Genomic DNA, 25,310 nt, shown 5'->3' on the forward strand with positions numbered 1-25,310 from the left:
CTGCTTGAGAGGGAGTACACTCAGCTGTGTCTACCCTTTTGCCCTTTGAGCTTCTGTCTTGGACTGCGAAAGATAAAAGGCCATAGGGAAAGATAAAAAAGTTCCAGAGACCGAGATACTGACATTCTTAAGCCACTGAATTGAAGTCAACCACAACTTATTTCTGGACTTATTATATGGGAGAAATAAGCATCCACTTGGTTAAGTCACTATTTATTATTTGGGTTTGCAGTCAAAAGAAAATTCTAAACATCAAAATAATAAACAGGACAAAGGCTAATTTATATCTATACACATATAATCCATAATGTAGATTGAACAATTGTGAATCTTTATGTATGTAATCATGTGGGTGCTGTGGTCTGAATGTTTGTGTCTCTCCAAAATTCATATGTTTAAATCCTAATTACCAAGTTTATAGTATTAGGAGTGGGGCCTTTGGAAGGTGATTAGCCCTTTTCGAGGGCTCTGCCCTCATAAGTGGGATTAGTGCCCTATGACAAAGGCCTGAGAGATCACTCTTGCCCCTTCTGCCATATGAGGTTATAGCAAAAAGACTACTGTCTATGAACCAGGAAGTGGGCCCTTAATAGACAACAAATCTGCCAGCACCTTGATCTTAGACTTCTTAGCCTCCAGAACTTTGAGAAATAAATTTCTGTTGTTATCCATAGCCACCCAGTAATGACATTCTGTTATTACAGCCTTAATGGACTAAGACTTGGACTAAAACCTGTGAAGGAAGAGAGTTGGAAACACAAGAAGAAACTGGTAGGATCATAGTAGGTTTTTAAACACATCTTTGTCTGACAAATCAAATAGCAACAAATAAGTTTAGGAAAGATTTTTAACAATAAAAAGAAATAATTAATAGGACTGTATTAAATATTAAACCCTACAAGGAGAAAATGCATTTACTTTTTAAGCAGCTATTAACCCTACTAGGCCAGGGAGGACCTTACTTAATGTCAAAAATATTTGCATATCCTTTGATCATGAAATTATATCAATAATCTTATGAACTCAAGTGTATGGGTGGATGTGGTTGTAAAATTACAAAGTCAGTGTAGAGATCTAGTGTGTAAGGAAACTGGTAGATGGGTTTTTGGAAGGCTGATTGAGTTCAGGCTGGAAAATGGGGGCATGTTTTGTTTTTCTTCTCTCTCTTCAGTCCTCCCATGCCACTTCCCAAATGCTATCTCATGAGTAGGGGGATTAATAAAAAATGCTTTTCCCTGGAAATCTCTTATCAGCTATGGTATAGTTATAGATATAGTCTTTTTTAAATTAAAAAAGTCACAGACTTTTATTATCATTCATATACTTCACAGGAAAATATAGCAAAGGGGTCAGAGTTGTATGAAAAGACATCTGGGAGCAGGACTGTCCTGACATCCAGCACAACAGCTGCACTGTCTGATGCCCCTTTGCAGATGAGGTCCTGGGCACACTTGGCACAGTCCACAGAGCAGCAGGAGCAGCAGCTCTTTTTGCAGAAGGAGCATTTGCATTTTTTGCATTTTTCAGGAGCCAGCACAGGTGCAGGAGCCACCAGTGGCCAGGACCAGTCGGGGTTCATCTGGGACCGAGGTAAGGCTGGAGTTCCAAAGCAGGAGGCTAAGAGGCATCAGGGATGTTGGAAGATGTGTTGAAGCTTCCGTACAGTCCTTTCAAGTTTCAAGCTGGTTCCTTGAACAGGTGACATTAGACACCCAGATTTGGTTTATTTGTGAGCAGAAGCTTTACATCTTGTTTGGTTACATTAGTTGTCAAACAGGAAGCAATTAGAAATGTGCCTGACATGTAGTAACTGCCTACTAAAGGACAGCAATTACTATTCATCAGTGCTGTACCTTCCTCTGTCTCTCAAGCGCCTTTCATCCTTAGAATCTGGCTTAGGTCTCTTCCTCTATGACACTGCCCTGGATACTCCAGCTCAGTCACACTATGGCATCTACAACACACTTAATCATTTATTTGTCTTCTAATTGTTTCCTGGTGTTCATAATATCCCTCATCTTCTACTCCAAGTGCCTGAAAGTACAGTGCCAAGTAGTATAGCACTGCAGTCATTGCATGGTGTTGGTGGAGACTGCTGAGGTTCAAAACCCTCTTCTTCTACTAACTAGCTGTATGATCTAGTGCAAGTTATTTAACATCTCAAGGCCATTAATATATTTCTGCACATAGCTTTGTTTTATATTGGGTTCTTTTCTTCCCAGCAATGGGATTACTGGGTCAAAAGATATTGCTTACAGCTGTGTGACTTAGGGAGTTACATACATCTTATGTCTTAGTTTCCTTGCATGTAAAATGGAGATCATAGACTTTCTCATAGTGTGACTCTGACAATTAGCAGATAATACACATAGTTTCTGGCAAATAGTAGACAGTTGTGTTCATGCTAACTATTATTGTTGTCTGATTGAAATTCTTGTGCTAACATTTCTTTATGCTCAGGTGCTCTGCTGATCAAAGGATCAGAAGGATGTTTGACAGAGGAAAATAAATCAAATTATTCCCTTAACTGCGGCTTTTGTATTACCTGAGTTTTATAATATTGTCTGCTTTTCTGACCATCCATCTCCATGATTAATTAAAAGATAGCTGAATTTGATATGGTGACAGCTTTTCACAAGATCTACTAAAAACATGAGCTATAAATGTTGTTTTGGTAATCTGGAAGGGGCAAAAGGAAAAGAGTGAAAGGCCTTAGAAATACAATTCTAAATCTTTCTTTGCTGCATAAGAAGACCAACTTTCTTCTTGCCTGTATAAACAATTTACTTTTAGAGGAGAACTTATGAAATGTAGACCTGGGATGGGAAGGCAAGATTCAATTTGTGGGGTCATGCTTGGTGAGAAAAGTGTTCCCAGAAATAATATTTGAAGAAGGATTACATTCTGAACCCCGGTCAATTTCTTACCTGCTGGCAAAATAAATTATGGTGCTGGGCAAGTTTCAAGCCCATTCAAATGCCAAAGTTGATATCCGATGAGGTTCTATTCAGGGCTTTTTTACACACATTTTCAATGGCTGCCAAGACATTTGCCTTTTCACTACATCTCTGTTAAGCACTAAAGCCCATGGCTTGATGTACCGCACAAGCTGCAGAAGGGGCTGGATTCTGACAGCTAAGTGTGTCCAGAGATTAATAGAGGCTGAGCTCAGCTGACAAGGGAAAGAGAGACATAGTCCCGTGGCAAGGCACTTAGAAATGACTTTGATTTCCCTTATGGAGATAAGAAATAACTCTGTCCCTGTTCTAAAAAGAGTAAAGAATAGGGTCAAACAGTTTTGGCTGAGGATTTGGATAAAGGTTTTATGTGTGTGTGTGTGTGTGTGTGTAATTATAAATGTAATATATAATTATTATTTATAATTACTTATTATGTAATAATAGTATATAATTATATGTGTACATATTATATATATATATATATATATATATATATATATATATATATATATACTCTAAATATGCTTATACATATACCCACAAACATAAACACACATTCACACACATTTATTTTCTCCCTCTCTGTTTTTGGTCATTTAAAATAAAGGAAAAAAAAGATTGAGTTTAGATTAAAAAATTAGTTGGTAACATTTATTGCTAAGTAGTGAACTCTGAATCTGAATCTACCAAAGATTACAAGCCTGATTGATTCACAGCACTAATTTAAGCATCTGAAAGCACTGAATGCTGTTGTCCACTGTGTGATCGATACAGATCCTGTCTGTCATCAACATTCTTTACAAGAAGATTAATTAAAGTAAATAAAATGGAATCAGGATGGAAAGACTAGATTACATTGGAAAACAATGCATATATCATAGATATCATTAGAGGACTAGGAAAGAGTTGATCAAATAGATAAGCAAAAGAAATGCCTGCAGCATATCCAACCACAACACAAAATCACCCAAATGATATGGCTTCACTTACTGCTGGATTTGGTCTTAGTAGAGAAGGTAGATTTATGGTTAGTAATTTGTGTCCTTCAAAATTTTGAGGCAGGAGGCCGATGAAAATATAGTGTGCTCAGCAAAACCTCTCTACAGCTGACTGCTGGACAGAAACTCAAGTTTCTTGAAAACTCATGGAAAAACCATTCAAAATCCTAACTCCTGGACCCTTATTATGATTGTGGGGAAAATAACTTTTAAAACCTGATATGTTCACTTATGCACAAAGGTATATTTTTACAGTATAGCAAAAAAGGTAAATTAGGAATATTCTTATATTCCAAATGACCTGGTATTATTTTATTTTGTCATAAATTGCATGTATCCTGATGTGATTGAAACCCTACCAGGGTTTGAAGTTATAACCGCAGCTAATGTATTTGAAAAAATAAAAAGCTTTTTGTCAGTATGATTTCTGCTTCAAACTGTGCAAGATACACTTATTCTCCAAGATAGAAGCACCCCCCAACTTTTTTTTTTTTAACAAAAACATTAAAAGACTAAGCAGGAAATAACGCACACTCATGGAGACATTTTAGCCAAAAAAGAATAATTGAATGCAAGTGAGAAAGGGAATATATTTTAAATTAAAGAATTTTGACAGGCCAGTGAAAGAACAAAGGGCTGTATTCTACATTACTTATTTTCTCAGGGGTTCCAGACTCTCATAGACTTCGATGGGAGGGCTACTCACAGGAGGGAGGCTTGGAGCTGAAGAAATGTGGATCAAAGCAATCAGCTTAAAGCATCTCATTCTGCCTTCCATAGGCCAGATGTTCTGAAAGTTCTACGGCCTTCCACAGTCATGCCTGCCTTTCCCGAAATGGCAGTTGCAAGACAGGTAAAATCCTCCCCTGAATCACTGGGTTTCCCTTAAGATATTTAGTCCATTTTTTTCCTATATTTACATCGTGGTTCAATGGGGGATCAATGGGTTGAGTAGCGACAATGACCTTTTGGTTGATGGAAAAGAAGGGAGCAACATAAAAATGACTGTTTCTTGGGTGAATAGCATAAAGAAGGCATTTCTTACCTAGGACAAGGCGTGGTCTTGGCCTCTCTGTGCTTACAACATGAGCCACAGAATGGATGTGATGTTGAAGAAAGAACATAAGCTTTCATCAGTTCTGGGTTCAAATCCAGTCTTGCCAGTTGTCAGCCTTGCCATCTTGTCAAACAAGATGATCTTTGACAAGCCTCCTACTCGCTCTGAGTCTCAATTTTTTTTCACTTAAGGTGGCACTAATAATACCCACCCTAGGAAGTTTGGGTGAGGATTAATGATAAAAAGCATATGTGAGGGAAAAGCAGAGTGTCGGGTCCTTAATAGTTATTTAATTAAATATACATCAGTTTTTCTCAAGAGTTCAGTCTCTAGCTTCTGAACTGGATTCGCTTTCTCATTCCACCACTTTCTCTGGGCTGTGTGACATTGGTCAAGCTCTTTTATCTTTCTGAATAGAATATGGCTCATTGGTAAAATGCTAACAGGTCCTACCTCAAAGATTTGCTGAAAACAATTAAATAGTTTTTTAAAAAGCATTTAATACAGCTTCTATAATGCAGTAAGCTCCCCCAAAAATGTTCTCACATATTATGCCCGAGTTCTCTGTTAGTTTGCTTTGCTATTTTTCTTAACCAGTTCCCAAACTCCCAGTTCCTCTAGAGCATGAATCTTCTTTATTTTTCCATGCATCCTCTTTTCCAGCCTTGATATAGAGAGAGGTTATCAGCTGGGATATGCATTGTAGAGTGACCCCCAACCCCTACGTCCACCTTCAGCATTTGAAAGCAACATGAGAATCTACTATGAAATTGGGTGAATTCATATCAATATAATGTTTTAAAATATTTTTTAGATTTCTTAATTCTAAGCACATTTCCATGAATACTTTTCCAGGAATACTTTTCCAGGAATACTGTGATATACCTTAAAGATGATATAATCAGCAATTCCAAATCAAATTAATATGCAAAAGTTCTAAGTTGCGTATCTTGCTGTTATAGTTGGATCATAAAACTAGTGATTCAACTGACTAATTAAGAGTTCAATGACCAGTGATTCTTTTCTTTGCCTTCAGGTTGCCCCACTCCCTAAATGTTGCTAAATAAAAATGGATTGATCTCTAGTCATCCAAGAAAATTCTCTTATCTCCTAAGTGAGGCTCACTGTTGTGTGAAAGAGCCTTCAAGCTAGTGAAAGTTTTTTGGGAGCATAAGGGTGAATATCTCTTAAAAGAAAGAATGAAAAAGAAAAGAAGAAGAAGAAAAAAAGAAATTGCATGCAACATCATCATGCTCCTTACTCCTATATCCAGCCCCTTCCCACTGGGCCATTCTGGTTTCAATTCCCATGGGACAAAAGAAAGGACAGTTTTGAAATTAAATTGACTGAATAATATTTTACAATTGTGATGTGTTTGTATGAAAAACTATATACAGATTGATTATATATTTTATATTTTCCGGAGTGAGCACATATTGCTTCTTTACTCTTAAGGAACAATAAAAATGTGAACATAAACTCAGTCGGAACAGGGCTTTCCTTATTCTCTGCTTCCTTCCCACCAAAGACCTCCAAATTAATTCATCATGTAAGCTGAAGGATTTGTGGTGTAGACTCATTAAAAAAAGATGAGCATACAGATCCTCCACATAAAATAAAGATCCTTTGCTTAGAATGAAGGTAAATATCTAAACCCTGCACCAAACCTCCAAGTCTGGCAGAAATCCTCTCAGGAAATGATGGAGTGTAGGGAGGCCATGATGGCAAAATGACCTTAGGAGACTTTTTCATTGTACCGTTTCTCATGCTATCCCTAAGTCCTAAAGGTTCTTGGCAATGGTTTGGGGCAGAGCAGATGAAGTCAACTGCTTGTGTCCCCATGTGGTATTGTGGAATTTATGCTAGGCTTGTTGGAAGATAAGTTGAAGTTCTATTAAGTTCTGTTACTTAATAACTATGAAAGCTTGGATAAATCACTGAATTTCTTTATGATGCAGTTTCCTCATCTGCAAATTAGGTATAACAATATCTATCTTTCCTACCACACAGAGCAGTTGTGAGATTCAAATGGCAAAAGCATTTGGGGTCCATGCTATACAATGGCAGGGCATTATTTGGTCACACATAGTCTGTATACTCAATATCTGTACCTGTTTATTATAATTATGCATCATCTACATATAACCCATGTATCTATAAAGCATATGAGCATAATGAATGAATGATTTGTAATTGTATACTTGCATAGACTTTAATGCACTTTTGGGATCTAGGAACATTAAATGGCCTATACAAATAAAAGTTATCTTATTTTTATCACTGGGAAAGTTTCCAGGACATTATCAACACATGCTAAAGTTTCCTACATAGAATGTAATACTGAAACCTCTGCTACCTTATGCTCAGGCTCACAACTTCCATATGATTTGCCTCTTAAAAAAGCCACAGAACTTGTCAGCCAAATTCCAAAGTGACATTCAGCAGTGCATATTTGGAATCAGTTTTGGTTTTGCTTTCAGGCTGTCACAAAAAACTACAAAACGGCTGGACACATGTACCTCTCTCCACTCTCCTCAATTTCTTTTTCCTTCTCTAGAGCGCGACTAACATGTTGGTTTCAAAACCACGATCACACGCATTCACATACACACCTTCAGCAGGATTCTTAAGATATTGCTTCCCATATGTAGCTCATAGATCAATTTAACTATATAGCACTGCCCTGGGTTATCTCTCCTGAAACCATGTGGAATACTCATCTTCTCTAATCCTGGTCTATAGTATTTCCAAAGTACTTTACAAGCCCAAGTAGGGCCTCTAATGCCTTGCAGCAGCTGAGCTGGTAGCACACATGATATCTTAAATGTAACAATCAAAGGAGCACGCTGGATCTTGGTATTTCCGGTGGCTTGCAGATGTGCTGTGTCCGGATCCAAAATCTGTAATGTCAATTTTAGATAAAAGAAGCTTTAGACAAAATTGTCTCCCTGCCTTGTGTCAACAACTGAGCCAGGACAAGGGAACGCTCTCTGATAGCAAGGCTGCATGTATTGCATATCAGTTATCTGACCCCTACAATAATTTCTGGGGGTGTGTGTGTCCGTGAGCAACCTTGCTCAAGATTTATGTAATGGAGGGCATTGTTATATTAATCTACACCATGTGGAACTCTCCAGGTGCTAAGCTTTGATCTTCCTGTCCTCTGGTGCATTAAGTTTTCTAGTATTCATTGACAATGATATTTGTGATTTAAAACACTCCCTTTCCTGGCTACAGAGGGGACACAAAAAAGGGTTCAGAAAACTGTACTTTGAACCAGACACCCTCAACTTTCCTTGTTTGGTTTCAGTTTGGTATAAAATCCACTCTGATTCTGTTTAGAATTTGATAGGCACTCCAAGGAGTAAAAGAATATCTTTCTGAAACATTTTATGGCACATTAGATTACTGCTGAAAATGCCAGACTTGGCTGACTGGGGACGCTTGGCCTTTGTCAAAGTGGAATGTGAAGATGGAAAGTAAAAGGCGATTTTCCACTTCTCACTGCTACGAGGAAAAGGGAAAGGGAGGTGGGAAGGATACAAAGAGATACAGACATTCGGAAATCCAAGTCTGTCGTGAACCTAATAGCAACAAGAATAAAATGATAAAATTTTCTAATACAAAAGCATAATAAGCCCTGATATGTCATATTTCAGGAAATACAGTATTACTTTGGAGGAAAATGTAAAGAAATATCAAACAGGTTAAAGGTAATATAGTACACACTGGTTAAGGACACAGACCCTGGTGTCAGATTGCCTGGTCCAAACCCCATTTCTCCTGCTTAACTAATGTCAGGTTCCCCATCTGTAAAATGGGGATAATTACAGTATCTGTCTCCCAGATTACTGGGAATATTAAATGAGCACTCAGAACAGGGACAGTATATCCTCAGTGCTATATAAGTGTTTGCTAACACCTTACCCATATCCTCTGCTGATAATACCTGTAATTTGCAACACAGATTACTTTTTATTTTTATCTCTAGTATTAACTAGTATGATGCCTTTGAACTTCCTGGGCTGGCAGAGGTCAAGGCTGGATTCCTATGAGGTATGTAAATGGCAACTCCTTTATTGGGGAAGAGAATAGGTTCCAACTACATAGATTTGTTCAAGAACACTAATCCCAGAGGAAGAAATTAAGGAAGAGGAACAGTGATGTTCTGGGGTCATGGGATCCCGAGGGCTCTGGAAGGCCCTCCCTATCTTCTCCCTTGTAGGGAAAAGATATTCCCTCTTCTTCAAACCTCTCCATCTGCATAGAATACAGAAGTATTATTGCCTCTATCACCATAGATGCATTTTGCTTCTCCTTAAACTTCATATAAATGGAATCCTGTACTAAAACTTACTCTTCTGTATCTGGCTTTTTCACCCAGTAACAAAACTAAGATTCATGCATGTTTTTGCACATATCAGTAGTTCATTCTCTTTCATTGCTGTGTAGAATTTCATTGTATAAGTATGTCACAGTTTATTTACTAATTCTACTCTTAAGTTGTTTGCAACTTTTGGATGCTATAAATACATTTGAAGATTAATTTTTAAAAGACATTTTAATAGTAAGCTTCATTAACACTTTTGTAGAAGTGTATGCACTAGCTTTTCTTTTTGCTTACACTCGAGTTGAATTCAGGAAGCTTTGATGTTTTCTAAGCATTTTGGTGGGGGTTCTTTATTGTCTAAATCAGATTGTCTCTTTAAGAAGGGTTTAATTTTTATTACGTGGGGCAGTGCCAGCCATCTTTATTAATAATGATAGCTGAATAGTCACAAATGGTGATCAGGTGAGACTCATCCTGTTACTTTGTAAAGCTATTGCGGGATTCCAGGACTGATTTGCTCTAGTTCAAAAGAAAGATCGGAGATATGCTAAGATGATGAAAAATTCATGTTCCTAAACTAGTGTACATAGGACAGAAAAGGTTTTCCTAAGGAAGGCTCCTACATCCACATTCATTTTGAGGAGATGAGTGTGGGACGCTTTGAAGCCAGTGCCATTGCTAGACACAGGTGTTCCAGGACTCCATTTCTTCCTCATATGATGGGAGGCAGAAGTTAAGAGGCATTTTATTCCGGAAGTATCAGAGAGAGGGCATGTGTAACTCTCAAACAGCCTGAGCCTGTTGTGCATTCGTCAGCAATGTCCACTGCTAGAGACACAAGTGGGCAATGCAGTGGGAAATAAATGGAATGGTTGCGGGACTAAAGGACTAGAAGTCCCATTTCCCATTTCAGGATGTGCAGAATGGAGAAACAGCCTTACAAGACTTTTGCAGTACTTGGATATAGTCCAAAGAGAGGAAAAGAAGGCAGAGGAGAGTGCCAGAAAGTCTCCCCCTTTTTAAAGAGAAACTTACCTGCTAAGAATGCGTTAAATTAGCCTTGTTTAGCCTAGGACTGAGGGTTTTCCATTGGCATGGGACTGGTAATGTTAAAATTAAGAAAGTCCTAAGCAAAGCAGGCACTTTGGAGAACAAGGCAGATTTAGCAGATCCCGCAGAGTTCTAGATTGCCTGGGCAGCAAGGGATTACCTAATCGGATTACCTAATCCAGGAGTTGTAAAGTTTGTTTAGCAGGAGACCAGTCTCCCTTTTTTGAATGCAGGATCTTTGGCATTAGCTTAGAAACTCAGCCCGATGAAGTGGAGCTGTGCTGTTCAAAGCAGAGAAGTCTCCATTTAGCCTAACCGCTCCATTTATAGATAGAGAAACTGAGGCCGAGAGACTTGTCACACCCCATCTAGTTTACAACAGGCCTAGGACTGAATCTCGACTTGTCTTCTGAACTGTTCTTGGCCCACTACCACTGTTCTTCAAAGAATGGGCAGGGTATTCCCCACCACCCCCAGTCAGCGTCATCCAAAGCAATTTACAGATGCAGTGTAACGTGCATCTAAATGCCAATGATGTTCTTTATAGAAATAGAAAAAAAAAATCCTAAAATTTGCATGTGATCACAAAATATCTGCCATCTTGAGCAAAAAGAATAAATAATAAAGCTAGAGGCATCACACTACCTGACTTCAGAATTTACTACAGAGCTATAGTAACCAGATCATGTGATACTGGCATAAAAACAGACACATAGACCAATTTAACAGACAAGAGAACCCAGAGATAAATCCATGCATTTCCCGTGAACTCATTTTCAACAAAGATGCCAAGAAGAAACAATGGGAAAGGACAGTCTCTTCAATAAATGGTGCTGGGGAAACTGGATATCCATATGCAGAAGAATGAAACTAGACCCTTATCTCTCACTACATACAAAAATAAAATGAAGATGGATTAAAGACTTTAATCTAAAACCTGAAACTATGAAATTACTAGAAGAAAACATTGGGGAAATGCTCCAAGACATTAGTCTGGACAAAGAATTTTTGTATAAGACCTCAAAAGCCCAAGCAACCAAAGCAAAAGTAGACAAATGGGATCACATCAAGCTAAAAAGCTTCTGCACAACAAAGGATACAATCAACAAAATGAAGAGACAACCCACAGAATGGGAGAAAATATTTGTAAACTACCCGTTGGACAAGGAATTAACAACCAGAATATATAGGGAGCTCAAACAACTCAATAGCAAAAAACAAAACAAAATACCAAAAAACAAATAATCTGATTAAAAATAGGCAAAAGATCTGAATAGATGTTTCTCAAAAGAAGACATACAGTGGCCAACAAGTATATGAAAAAATGCTCAGCATCACTAATCATCAGAGAAATGCAAATCACAATGAGATAGCATCTCGTCCCAGTTAGAATGGCGTTTATTAAAAAAAATAGGCAATAACAGATGCTGGTGAGGATGTGTAGAAAAGGGAACCCTCATACACTGTTGGTGGGAATGTAAATTAGGATAGCCACTACGGAAAACAGTACAGAGTTTCCTCAAAAAACTAAAAATAGAACTGCCATAAAATCCAGCAATTCCACTACTGGGTATGTATCCAAATAAAGAAAATCAATATATCAAAAAGACACCTGTACTCCTATGTTGATTGCAGCACTATTCACAATAGCCAAAATATGGATGGATGAATGGATTTTAAAATGTGGTGTATATACATGATGGAATATTATTCAACAATAAATAAGAATGAAATCCTGTCATTTGCAGCAACAAGAATAGAACTGGAGGTCACTATGTTAAGCAAAATAAGTCAAGCACAGAAAGACAAATATTGCATGTTCTCATATGTGGGAGCTAAAAAAGTGGATCTCATGAAGATAGAGTATAGATTATGGTAACCAGAAGCTGGGAAGAATAGTGGAGAGATGGGGATAAAGAGAAGTTGATTAATGGGTACAAATATATGCTTTGATAGAAAAAATAAGACCTAGTGTTAGGTAGATCAGTAGGGTGACTATAGTTTACCATAATCCATTGTATATTTCAAAGGAGCTAGGGAGAAGAATTTGAATGGTTCTAGTATAAAGAAAAGACAAATATTTAAGGTGATGGATATCCCAAGTACACTGATTTGATCTTTACAAATTATATGCATACATTAAATGATCACATATACCCCCAAACTGTGTACAACTATTATGAAAAAACAATACTTACCAGGGGACTCTGTTCTAGACTATCTTGGAGAAGTTCTAAAAATATGCATTATAACAAGTTCCCAGGTAATTCTTATGAACATGTGGCTGCTTAAGTCTTACCACTCCCACGCCTTACTCCAGGATTCTTACCTGAGAGGTATTGAAGACCATTTACTCTCATAATCTCTCAAGCTTATCATTTGTAATTTGGGCACTGGAGTTTTCTGCAGGTTACTGAACAGGATAATAAAAGGAACCCCAAATCTTGGGGAACAGGCAGTCTATATAAACCAGCCCCTTCTGCTCATGCTTCTGCCCATCACAGCTGGGCTGGAGCTGGGCTCTTCTCTGTCGGCTCAGGGGAGTGACTCTCCCGTGCTGGCCTGGTCAGCTTCGGGATTCACTCTCTTGCCTCATCATGAGTTTTTTGTCACTATGGTAGAAATATTCTTTTCCTTGGACAGAGATAGATGAGTCTTCCTGAGAAGCTCTGCCCTGTTCCCTGGGGGGCTTTAATTCCTCTCCTGTTGGCTCCATTGTGTCCTATGATGATGTTAACGGCATGGCCCAGTATGGTGTGGTTTATATGGCTTTCCTATTTTTTTTCTTCCACTCTTTTTCAGAAGCATCTTCTCCTTCTGCATCATATGGTTGGCTTTGGCTTTGAGAAAATTGATAGGGATAGGAGATCCAAAGGAGGATGTCTCACCTTATAATGCCAGTTCATCATATTTTCCTATGAAAATATTCTACTGTTACGATTCTGGGGTGGCTAATATAAATAATAAACAGCAACCATTGGGCTGAATTCTTCTATATTATCTCCTTTTAAGTTTAAAATTCTTAACTTCTATTTTTTAACAATTAAAAATGTTACAGCTTTATGCATTGGGTTTGCTTCAGTTTCTTCCCGGGAGACCTGAATAATACTTTCTTCTACCCTCATCCCTGAACCCTCCCTCATCCCCTACCAAATAAAACCAAACAAGAGACTGTGGACTTCCAGAGCATCAGAAGCTGGCTGCTAATTGCATATCCTTGGAGGAATATGTTTGTCTAACTTCTTTGAGGCTGGTGGATCTCCATGCTATGGTTTATAAGCTGAGCAGGACTCCACTGTATTCTTCTCTATCAGGCTCTACTCTCTAAGCACTAGCCTGGCTTACTGCTCAGACTGAGCCTGAAGCAGTCAGTTGGATCTGATATGGTTTTGGGTGGCTCACCAAGGGTGGGACTGGCCCTTCTTGAATGTTCTTGAAGACATTGGTAGTGTCAGATTGGGCCCTTAAGAACTGGTGGTGTCAGATTGGGCCCCTAGGAATGTTTAGCCAAATCCCACTCATCTGAATGTATCCACATGCCATCTAGCTACAGACTTGTGAAACCCTATGTTTCTAGATTCTTTAGCTTTAGTAGAATGGAGGAAAATGTCTTGGTATGTCCGCCTTGGTTAGGAATATGCAGGCCCAGGTATGGTTCAGAGGTCCATGTGGCACAGCTGCTAGTCCTTGTGGCTGCAGCAGGTGGGTTTCCTGTGGTGGGGGTGGAGGGGGAAGAGAGGGAAAGGAGAGAATGAGTTTCCTCCTGATGAGGACCTTGTCAAGACATGGTGGCCAGAAGTTACGCTGAGGACAGAGTTCCCTCCCCACCTAAAAAAAGAGAACACCCCACTGCTGCAGTGGGGTAGCTGTGGACGCAGGCAGGGCCACCGTTTCTCCTTTCCTCAGAGGGTTCCATTCAGCCTGCTGAGCAGGCCCAGCCCTGCCTTACTGTCTGTGAATCTCTCTCTAGAGCTAACACCCATGCCTAGACCAACCCACTCTCTGTGAATCTGCTCCCCAAGCTGTACCCACCTTTGACTTGTAACAAACCAGTCAGCATTTGCTGCCTACTGAATAAACCACCCCAAAAGGTAGCAGCATGCAGTGATAAACAGTTGTTTTCATCACAGGTCTGTGTGGTGGCTAGGCTGGCTGTGCTCCCTGGGTTCCTTCTGGGGCTCCAGATGAATGGGTAGCCACCAACAGGAGTTATGGAAACACATCATGGCTCTTGGGGAACCAAGACTCAGACCTGCCGGACACTTACTGCCACCCACATTCTCTGGGCCACAGAGAGTCAGAGACAAGCCCAGTGTCAGTGGAGCTGGGAAATATCTGCCGATGGAGGCGGGGGTGGGGTGGAGTGACTATCTGCTAGGTAATCATCTAACCTACCTCATCTGGTATTCCTCTTCAGCTTCTTCATGAACAGAGCCCAGATCCTGGCACTGACCCCTCTGGGGATTCCAAATGTATCTGCAGGGTGTTTCCAGCAGGAGAATCCGCTGCTAGGATTTAGCTGTGTGTCCATGTCTGTGGTATTGTGGATTGGGCCTGCCAGAAATAGACAAAATAAATGCTGCAGGAGAGACTTTAGTGTCCTCTGAATTTCACCTTTAGTAAAATTAGAGGCTTGTATATGAAGCCGTAGCTCTGAGAGAAGTATTAACTAAAGCCCGAACTCAGGCTTTGATGTTTGAAGTTGATGAGAAGATGGTTCAGTACCACATGGTATCATTACCTATCTGGGCTCCCCAGCAGACATAGCTAATTTTAGATTTCTTTTCTGCGGACAGGGGATGGTAGCAAACAAAATTTCAAGGCAGCATGAAGCACTACTGCTAATAAATTGGATGGCGAGATGGTCCCTTGGTGCTATCCCTGACCCAAGAACTTGAATATAGGTGGATGGCTTAGGTGTGACAGTGTGACACATCAATGGCATTACATTTTTGGGAATGGTGCCAGGTGGCACCAAACTCAGAGAGTTCCTGGACATAGGCCTAATGTCCTTATGGTTCTTACATCCAAGCTTCTGGTGCAAGGAAGATGGGTGGGCAAAGTAGATCAGCTGTGATTGGCAAGGAAACCACCTTCTGGTACTGAGGAAACCAAGTTTACAATGGGCTGGATCTGGGAAAGTGACACAGGGCAATAACAGTGAGTAGAATTATGGATCTCTAACTATCTTTAAAGCACTGCTCAGGCAATGCATTGTCAGCAATCCAGAAGACATTATAAAAGGAATGCTTTCTGGGCAAAGCCCTGAGACTCTGGAAATCAGAAATCATTTTATTAGTTTCACTGAAGATAGCCGCTTTTTGGTGGAATAAAATCCCAAAGGGATGCCACCTCTAGTAATTCAGAAGCAAGGGTATGGTTAGGAGATGCCCTTGAATGACAAGTTTACATAAATCTATAGACAGAGGTCTGGTAGGTCCTCCTGGAAAAGACGGAAGCAGGTAGACAAGTTGTTCAGCACCAAAGCCTTAGGCATACAAGAAGAAAGGAGAGATTTATGTCCAATGAGGTGGTATCTGGCCCCAAGTTTCTGCGCCACCCACCCCCCACTCTTGCTCAGTCAGCTCCAACCAAACTCATCTCTGAGTCCTAAATAGGAAACATTGTTTCACTTAACACTTTATAATTTATTGGGGCCACAAGTCTCTCTGCTTTGGGATCCACATGGAAAATGTTTCCTTAAAGGAAAAGTCAGAAACATTCTTCCCATTTCTTCCCAGGACACCAGGAGGCTTTAGTTACCCTCCAGACCTGAGCGTGACGATACCAGCTGTGTCTGGCTCAGGCGAGGGTGGTTTGCAGACACTGGTGGATCCTGAGGAAGAGGCAGTGGTAGCAGGCAGAGTTGGACGAAATTTGGCAGAAACTGGGTTGCCTGGCAGAAGCCACAGGATCTGGCAGGCAGCAATGATGTGCAGTGGATGGTGGGGCCCTGCAGAACAACTAGGGCTCCCCAGGAAGCATCTCTGTGGGTCTTTGTGGGCAGTCCTGGCTGTAGTGGTAGACAGCACTGAAGGATGGAGGAAGAGAGAAGAAACAGGCAGAAGCCATGTGGTAGTTAACAAGGCTTATTTAGGAGCAAATTGATGATACTCCCTGAGGACTCGCAGAAATTACCAGCAGTGGACAGGGTTATCTGTGGTGAATTCAGTTATTCCACTTGCAGGAGGAAAGCCAGCCAGCAAAGTCATGACTATTCATGTAAATTTGTTTCCCATTGAAATGCTGGCTTGGTGTGGCCTAGAACATCTAGTTTGCAGAAACTTTCCTATTGGCTTCTTGCCCTGCCCCTTCACATGTCCTACAAACACTCTGCCACTTTGGCCTCTGGACCTGGAAGCTTTTTTCTGAATTTATCTTCTGTGAAGGCCAAACAGGCCTTGGAGTCTAGAGTCCATTTCTGATAGGAGAGACCGCTGATTTGATCATATGGAGTAGAGGTTAGTGTGAAGTCTGGTGTCTAACTCCTGAAAGCCACCTCCAGCTCCCATCTGAGTAGTTTTGTGATCCTGGGAAAGCTGTATAATCTCTCAGAATTTCAACTGTGATACAATAGTAGTAGTACCACTCTGAGGGTCCATTTGTGTGTGTGTGTGTGTGTGTGTGTGTGTGTGTGTGTGTGCGTTTTGTGAAAACGTACACAGAGCACTTAGAACAGTCCCTCAGTAGCTACACCTGGTAGCGGCATCATTCATATAACACCTTTTAAATTCATTAAACAAATACTATTGAGCACCCACTATATGCCAGATCTTAGTGAAATAAGCAAAGTTTTCATTAGAGAGGGAGGAGGGATGGGGGTATTGGAGGTTTGAGGAGGGAAGGTATGAAGTAATCACTACAGAGAAAGGGAGGGTGTGTTGATTAGGAAAACAGAGTAGAATTCCTGCACAATTCGGAGGGACTTGAGAATCCCTCCTTAAAAGGTTGAAAAATGTGCAATTTCTTAACTGTGATTTTTCAGCTTCGATTTTTTTTGTTTTTTAAAGCAGAGGAACCACTTCTTCAAAGAAGTCCTGTGGAGGCCATCAGTATATTGAAGGCTAAAGGGGAGCTGTTCTGGTTGAGGTGGCTGGGGGAGTGGTAGCCTCCTCCACACATGGACTCAACCCCTGTCCTCTGTGAATGTCTTTCTGGTTCCTCAGTAGCATCTCTAGAGATCTGGGGAACCCAGTTTAGAAACCACTATTTAGCTCAGCTCAATAACAAAGCCTCAGTCATCAAAGCAGAAAAGCAACTCGAGATCAAGCATCATATTTGACATTCAGATTTGTGAACAGCCCAGTCTTCCATTTACTGTATCTGAGTTTTGTGGAAGTTGCAAAAGACAAAGAAAATATAATACTCATTTTGATATCAAGGGTTTTATGACAGTGCAATTTTATAAACAGCATTACTTTAATACCTTTATCAGATATTTCTTGCCCCAATAATGCTGCATCACAAACCACCTCCAAACTCAGTGGCTTAATTCAGTGATCATTTATTGTCCTACCCCTGGTTCTGTAGGTTGGTGGGGGTGGCTCTGATGCAGGCTGTGGGTCTGCAGGTGGTTTTTTCTTCTGTGTCTCATACTGGAGCCCAGGCTACCCAAGGTAGATTTGCACAGTGATAGCAGAAGCATGCTTGAAGCATCTGCTCACATCTTATTTACTGAAAGCTCATGTTAAAGCAAGTCATGTGGTCAAGGCAAAAGTCAAAGGGCAGGGAAGTACACTCTGCTCATCATGAGGTCACAGTAAGGATGTGGATGTATGTTACTACTAGAGAGGAGTGCAAAAGTGAGACCAGTAATTCAATCCACTACAATACCCATGGAGCAGAGTGTAATCACCTATGGGGAGAGTGACATTCTCTTCCCTTCTGCCTGGACTGCAGCCCAACTTCTACACATTGAGGAGAAGAGAATCCAGGCCTGCTTTGGCACCTGGAGGCTTCCATGCATCAGAGGCAGCACCTGGTGGAAGTGGTGGCAGTGGCCAGCAAGGTTGATGGTGCTTGGTAAGGGTAACTGGACCGTGTGTTCTGGAAACCGTGGCAAGTGTCCACAAGCAGTTTAGTGTGTCAGAGGTTTCAGTAGAAGGCAATGGTAACAGGAGGTGGAGCAGGAGAGAAGGAAAGGATCAGATATTATAGTGGTTAACAGGACTTGCAAGGACATGTGAAACATCCCTAGAGACCCCTAGAAACAACTAAGAGTGACTTCGGGTGTCTATACCAGCAGTTGGAGGTGGTTTATTGCTGTTAATGCAACACCATATATTTCAACAGTTTAAAGTGGCTGGAGAAACTGGTTTTCAACAATCAGACATAGAATCTCAGAGCTGAAAATGACCCTAGATCCATCTGACTCAAGCCTCTGCTCCATAATATCGCAGATATATGTCATTTGACACCTGTTTGAACCCCTTCAATGATAGATAACTCACGCACAGAAGGCAGCTCATCCAGCTTTAGATACCAACATTGACAATGACCTTCTGAGCTTGCAACATTCAGGACTAGAGCATGAAACAGATAGGAGAGGCAAAAGTCTAGAATGAAAAGAGGTTTTTGGAGAATGGCTAATTTAGAGAAAAGGTTCTTTTCATTGTTTTCAGAGGAAGAAGAAGAAGGGAAAGAGAGGCCAACTGAAGACAGAAAGAATGGGAACTATTTTTTTTCTCTTTTGCTTTCATGTTCTTTGTAGATTTAAAAATTAATTACCATGCTTAACAGGGAATAAAACCTGGGAAATGGAGGAAGTACAAGCATTGGCTGCTCCCTAGCAATTGTGTCTATGATGAGTTAGAGTGGAAGGAGAACTTTGGGGTAAGATCTATATATGGTTCTCCTGCAATACATCGACATTAGCTAAAGTTTGACCCTGGTTTAAACCTTCCATTTCCCATCTCATGAATTGCTCTCACAGATAAGGGAGCAGATAGCCAGGGACATACCTACCACTGAGTAATGTCAACCAAGGAATACAAATTTTATCCTATAGTTCTACTCTAATAAGCCTATCTTTAGAGCTGATAAGAACTTGGTGGTAAGTCTAGGGTACAAGTCTGAAGTTAGTTTATACAGTTATAAATTTTGTCCTCAATGTTTAATTTTTAGGGAGTTGGGAGCCAGAACCACTCTCAGGTTCTTTCAACAATAACACTAAAATCAGCTGTCAAGTCAGTTGGGTTGCAGGCGGGGAGATGGGCACTGGTCAGACTGGTTATTTCACTACTTAGGTATAACCAGCCAAAGAAATAACAACTACCACCGACAGTTTAAAGACTGAATTTTAAACTTTTCAACAAGCCGTGCCGACATATAGCGACAACCTTAATGTGCAAACCACTTCAAGCAGAGCGACTTTTAAAAGCTGTAAATTAAAATCACGTTTCTTTTGCAAACCCTTGAAACCTTTGAAAAACAAATAAATCAGTTAGTTGGTCCCCTATTGAGATCCCCAAATTTTTTCAGCAAACTTAGAGCTCAAAAAGAAATTAAAGCAGAAACTTGAAAATGTAATTTTAGACTAACGATTGACTGCCTGTCAGGGGGTATGAGCCACATTTTTATTCAATTTCATGATATATTCCTTCTCCTAAACCTTTCCTCTTGACACCTGGATTCAAATGCAGTCACAATGCTGGTCAACTGCAGCTGGACTTACCTGGTATGTCCTCTATGTGGTGATCTAGATTAGAGCCAGGCCCCGGTGTAGTGGTCTGGCCAGAGCAGAGTAGAATGAATGCTTATGGGCCTGAATGGCAATGGGGTCGCTGTCAGGAGAGAAAGAAACTCATCGAAGTGGCCCGGAGATGAGGTCTTTTTAGATCAAAACTAACATCAATGTTGATCAGAAATATTTTGCTCTAAAAATGCCCATTGTAAGAGGTAGAAACATAGAGTTTCTCAAAACCAGGACTGAGACACCACAGATCTTTGCTGAGATGATTACCACATTAAAACAGGCAGGTTTTGGTCAACAGTAATCTTGGTCCACCTAGATATCTGTGGTTCCAGCTACCTTAGGGGAGACCTGAGGCTGTTTCTGGAATCCAGTTTGTATATGTGCTTTTCTGTTCTCTATGGAAATATACATAAAGGTTTTGGGTTTGTGGCTGCATCTTATGTCTGCGCAATGCCACCATATTCTCCATCGTACAATACCGTTATTTGAGAATAGTCAAACTCACCCCTGTGGTCAGGGGAGAGGTAGAGAGCCTACACCCTGCCTGAATGGCTAGTTAAGAATATGATTTTATGGAGTTCACAAATTCTTCAAGAGGGCCATTCCTTGAAAGAACTATGTAACCCTGTAGCTGCCTCCAGTGACTTAGCAGAGCCACTTGCCCTCTAGAGAAAGAGCTGTCGAATAACCATAGCTGTCAAAATTTTCTGTCTACCAGAATGGCTTATGCTGTACTCCATGGCTGGCAGTCATTTGAGAGGACGGTGGCAAGCATAGCCACGGAGGCAGCAGGAATGGCTACTGGGAACAGAAAAAAATGTAGGACCCCCACATTGCCAGCCTGTTCCTCCATTCCAGCTGGGGTCTTTATTTTGGGAGCAAAGAAGGGTGACTGTTTTGGTGGTTTTGTTGTGCTGGTGGGGTGAAACAGGTAGTAGTCATCAGTGAAAATAGAGTAGGGATGAGTTAAAAATTATTGCAACTAGGAAATCTCAGGGTTTGGGAGTGTGACTCATACCACTTACAAGGTATCAGAAATACTTAATAACTCTCTGTTCTGGCAAACATCTCAGATTCTCAGATGGAAGGATTCAGTGGTGAAGGATGAGGAGAGGGTTTTGGTTTTACATACTATATATATATATATCTATATATATATATCATATATATATATCATATCGTCCATAGCGGACAACAATTCACTATTCGAAAAGTAATTGTTAGCAAGCTATTGGGCTCCAATAGAGACTGAGAGTCTAACTACAGGACAGCAAGTGGCCATGTAGTCAGAAGTGTTCATTATGCAAAGACAATGAGTCATTGCAAGAAGGAAGTGTTACATCCAGGGTTGGCTTGAGAAAGCTCAGAGGGCACAGTAGCTGAATGAACAGATGAAGGGGATTCCATGTCATCTACCACTGTTGCACAGATGGCCCTCCCTCAGCTCTCACCTATGGTTTCGTGGGAGTTTTCCCATGACCAGCTGATAGAAGAGAAAAAAGCCTAGGCTTGGTGGGCACAGTATATTGGTGCAAGCCAAAAATAGACAGCTGTTAGACTACCACCCCACCTAGGAGTGCTGAGGGGAAATCCTCAGGGAGGGGGCGTTTTAGGCAAAGAACTTGGCCATTCATTTTGCGTGAAGGGAGAAGTGATCCAAGGTAAGCATTTACACAGGTGTATGGGCATTAGTGATCGGCTTTGCTGGTGGTTGGGGCCTGGAGAGAGCATGGTCAGAAGATAGAAGACGAAGTGGTCTGGGGAAGAAGCATGTGGCCGATGATGTGGGAGCAGGAATAAAGTGTGAGGAACTTTGTATTGCATAGTGATGCTCACCAGAGAACATCCACTGCAGAAGTGGCATTAAATAACCACGTGGATAGGATGTCAGCCAGCTCTGCCCTTGGCCAACTCACTGGCAAGTTGATTACATTGGAACCTTGCCACCTGGGAAAATCAAGACTTCATCCTGCACAGGATTAACACATCTCTTGGGCATGGGTTTTTCTTTCTTGCTCCTGTCTGCCTGGCTATATGAGGGCTCACAGAGTATCTGAAAATTGGACACACGGTCCTGCAAAATATCACTGTGAAGCAAGGGGCCCACTCTATAGCAAAGGAGTCATGACAGTGAGCACAGAATTATGGGATCCATTGGTCCTGCCCCAGGCCGTGCAGCCTGGTGTGATGGTGGCATGACCCCTTCAAGGTGACAGCTGAGGCTCTAGCTTGTAGATAATACCCTGTGGGGCTAGAGTAGTACATTGCAGGATGCCATATTCATCTTGACCTGTGGACACTGGGTAGAATACGTGGGTCTTGAAACCAGGGGATGAAAATAGGAGGGCACCTGCTCCCCAATCACTCCCAGGGACCCACTTGGGGAATTTATGTTTTCCATCTTCAGTGTTAGGTTCTGTGGATATATACATTCTGATTCTCAGATGCGGATACTTCCACAAAGGTTCAAAGTAGGAATTGTACTAAATTTAAAGCTATGGCTGTGACTGGTCACTTTGGGCTGAACATGCCAGGACAGCAGGCAAAAACAAGACTTGGTCTATTGGCAGAGGTAATTGACCCCCATCATCATGAGGAAGTAGGGTTGCTGCCAAGTCATGGGGGCAGACAGGAAAATGGTTTGCAGTCCAGCGATCCACTGGGGTATCCCTTCCCTGTCAATTCTAACAGGCAATGGGCAATTATAGGAATGCTGATCTGTTAAAGGCATGGTAACCAGGGGCTCAGATTCTTCAGGGATGAGATGAGAACCCTCTGCCAGTGGCCTATGTGATGTTATCTTGACCAGGAGAAAAGCCAGCTAAGGGTGAAGGAATCTAGGATGGTTTAGGGTGGGATGAGGAATTGAATTAATCCTTCAATTCAACTGATGAATTGAAGCCATCAGTTCTAGCTCGGGACCAACTGAGCAGCTGAGACTGTACTCTCTCAAATGAGTCTTCCTTTTATATGTTTCCCTAGACATGCTGAGCAGTCACAGTCCCAGAGAAGCTGTTCCTGGAAGGACTGAACTTAATGTGAGAAACACAGGGCTCCGGGCAGCGGGTTGGTGCCCTTCCTAGGCTCACTTCATGGGGCCAGGGCCCCTCTCTGCAGCTGCTCTAAGGTCAGATGCTAAGCGCTCACAGCTTCACTCATTTCTGGGGTAGCCTGTCTTCAGATGGGAGGTTATGCTTCTCCCCTCTTTTGTAGGGGCAACCTGCAACCAACGACTGCATGATATGGTAGTAGTGGTGGTAATTTATTCTGAGACTATAATTCTGAGTTGTAATTCATGCTCCAGAGCTACCCATAGGATAAAACTGAAACTTGACTTCAGCTGCAACCTCATCCTAGCTGAGTGTTTTCCCCTTTGTGTCCTGCACCTCTTTCTCTCTTACAGGTTTCTCCTGAGCTTTCACAGGAATCTCTCTTTTAGTTCTCCTTCTACGGAACCCAAGCTAACACAGTGGTCAATAGGAGAGACTTTTGCTTGGCAGGCAGCCCTTTTCTGGGAGCTGAGACCACACCGTGCAGGCTCCAAAGATACCCCCTACAAAAAAGTGGTGTTGGGGGATGCATAACCTCCCATCTGAAGAGGAATTTCTTCAGAGATGAATGGAGCTGTGAGTCCTTAGGACCCAACACAGAGAGCAGCTGGAGAAAGGTGCCCTGGGCCTTTAAAGTGGGTCTGCTTGCAAACACACAGTCAGACTTCAAGCCAGGCGGCTCCCTCTTCACATTGACCCTGGGATACAGTCCTGGCCTCACCAAGTTATCATCTTTTTAAAATTCAAGCCCAGTAGGGTGGGGAAACAGGGCCTCACTTCTCCCACCTGGCATCTTCCGGCTCCCTGTGGATCCCCTGCTCTTCAGGCGCCTGGGGCTGCTCTTGTCAGCTTGAGAACAGGAGGGCAGTGGGTGGACAACACCTGGTGAAGAAATTTACACACTGAAATAATGGTTTCCACGTTGGTTTTTCATAATTAACTAAACAGACTGGAGTTAAGTTTCATGGGTAAAAAACTTGTGAAGAACTCTTGACAAGAAATGAAGGTTGATGAGGGAGTTAAAGTTTTTAAAAACTTTCATCTTCCTTGGACTTTGTTCCCTTTTTCTTTGTCTTCCTCCCCCCCCACATTTCTTTCTCTCTGTCTCCCTCCCTCCCTCTCTCCTTCTGTCTCTTTTTCCCTCGGTTTTTCTCCCTCCACCCCCTCTCTCCCTCTCTGCTTCATCTGCTTCCCTCTCCCTCTTCTACTTTTTCATTATAAAACCCTCATTGGTCACGTTTGGGTTTTCATGTATTCATACAAACTTTCACTTCCCAGCATGTGTGTGAAAAGAAAAATAGTAACATCAACAGCTTATATTAGTGCTTCTGTAATTTGAAAATTCCATCTGCAGATGTGTCTCTGATCTTGAAGGAAAAAAATGAAAGGCTTTGTTATGTCTCCGGCAAAAGAGATATGGAAAACAAATGGGACGGCAAGTGGTTGGAGCTGAGATGTGAAAGCACAATGAATGGAGGATGCCACATCATTACCTGGGGAGAGAGCACTCTGCCTTCTCATTGAATCTCAGCAACTTGTCTAGGGTAGGAGGGGGCATTGCTATAAAACCATTCCTTCTTTGTGAAAATGGACCTTGAACTTACCGGTTTCTTTAAGAGCCTACCATATTTGCTGAGAGAACAAAGGGCTTCATTCCAGTGCCTGGATCAGACTTAGATATTTTGAAACTTCACAGCTCATATTGCTGACAAAGAGCATGCTGCTCTTTCATGTGATTTATATGAAATGGTGGCCCAATAAAAACTTGAGGAAGAATGGCTACCTTCTGCCCTTAGGAGATTCTGCCTTTTTGACTCTATTCTTGGTTAGCCAAAAGAACAATGAGAATTAAGGTGCTTTGTTTTTTTTTTTATTGACAATGATTGGTTGTATTTTCTTACTCAGCTGTTCACTCAACACCAAAAGCCTTAAAAAAGTAAGAACCAAGATTGCAGATGGCAGTGAGGCCTTTGAGACCCTCAGTGCTCTGTGACGGTCTTTCAGGAAGTGAGCCTTTTTACCTGAGTTAAGTAGGAACCTTGTAATTGCATAAATTCTCCATGCTTGCTGGTTTTTTTTTTCCCCCAGAGTGGGTTTTTGTGGGTAATATATTATAATGTGGGTTCTGTAACCTTTCCTCATGTTCCAGACACATTTACTCTGACGTGGAG

At 41.3% G+C, this 25,310-nt stretch overlaps 1 annotated feature.

The window, feature by feature from the left end:
- Positions 21,342-21,391: an enhancer, noted in NCBI's record as "active region_28122". NCBI's record gives its function as "activates an Ori minimal core promoter by ATAC-STARR-seq in GM12878 lymphoblastoid cells {active_cell/tissue: GM12878}" and the evidence as "EXISTENCE:reporter gene assay evidence [ECO:0000049][PMID:35858748]".

This window comes from Homo sapiens, chromosome 9 (genome assembly GCF_000001405.40).
Source record: "Homo sapiens chromosome 9, GRCh38.p14 Primary Assembly".
NCBI classification, from domain to species: Eukaryota; Metazoa; Chordata; class Mammalia; order Primates; family Hominidae; genus Homo; species Homo sapiens.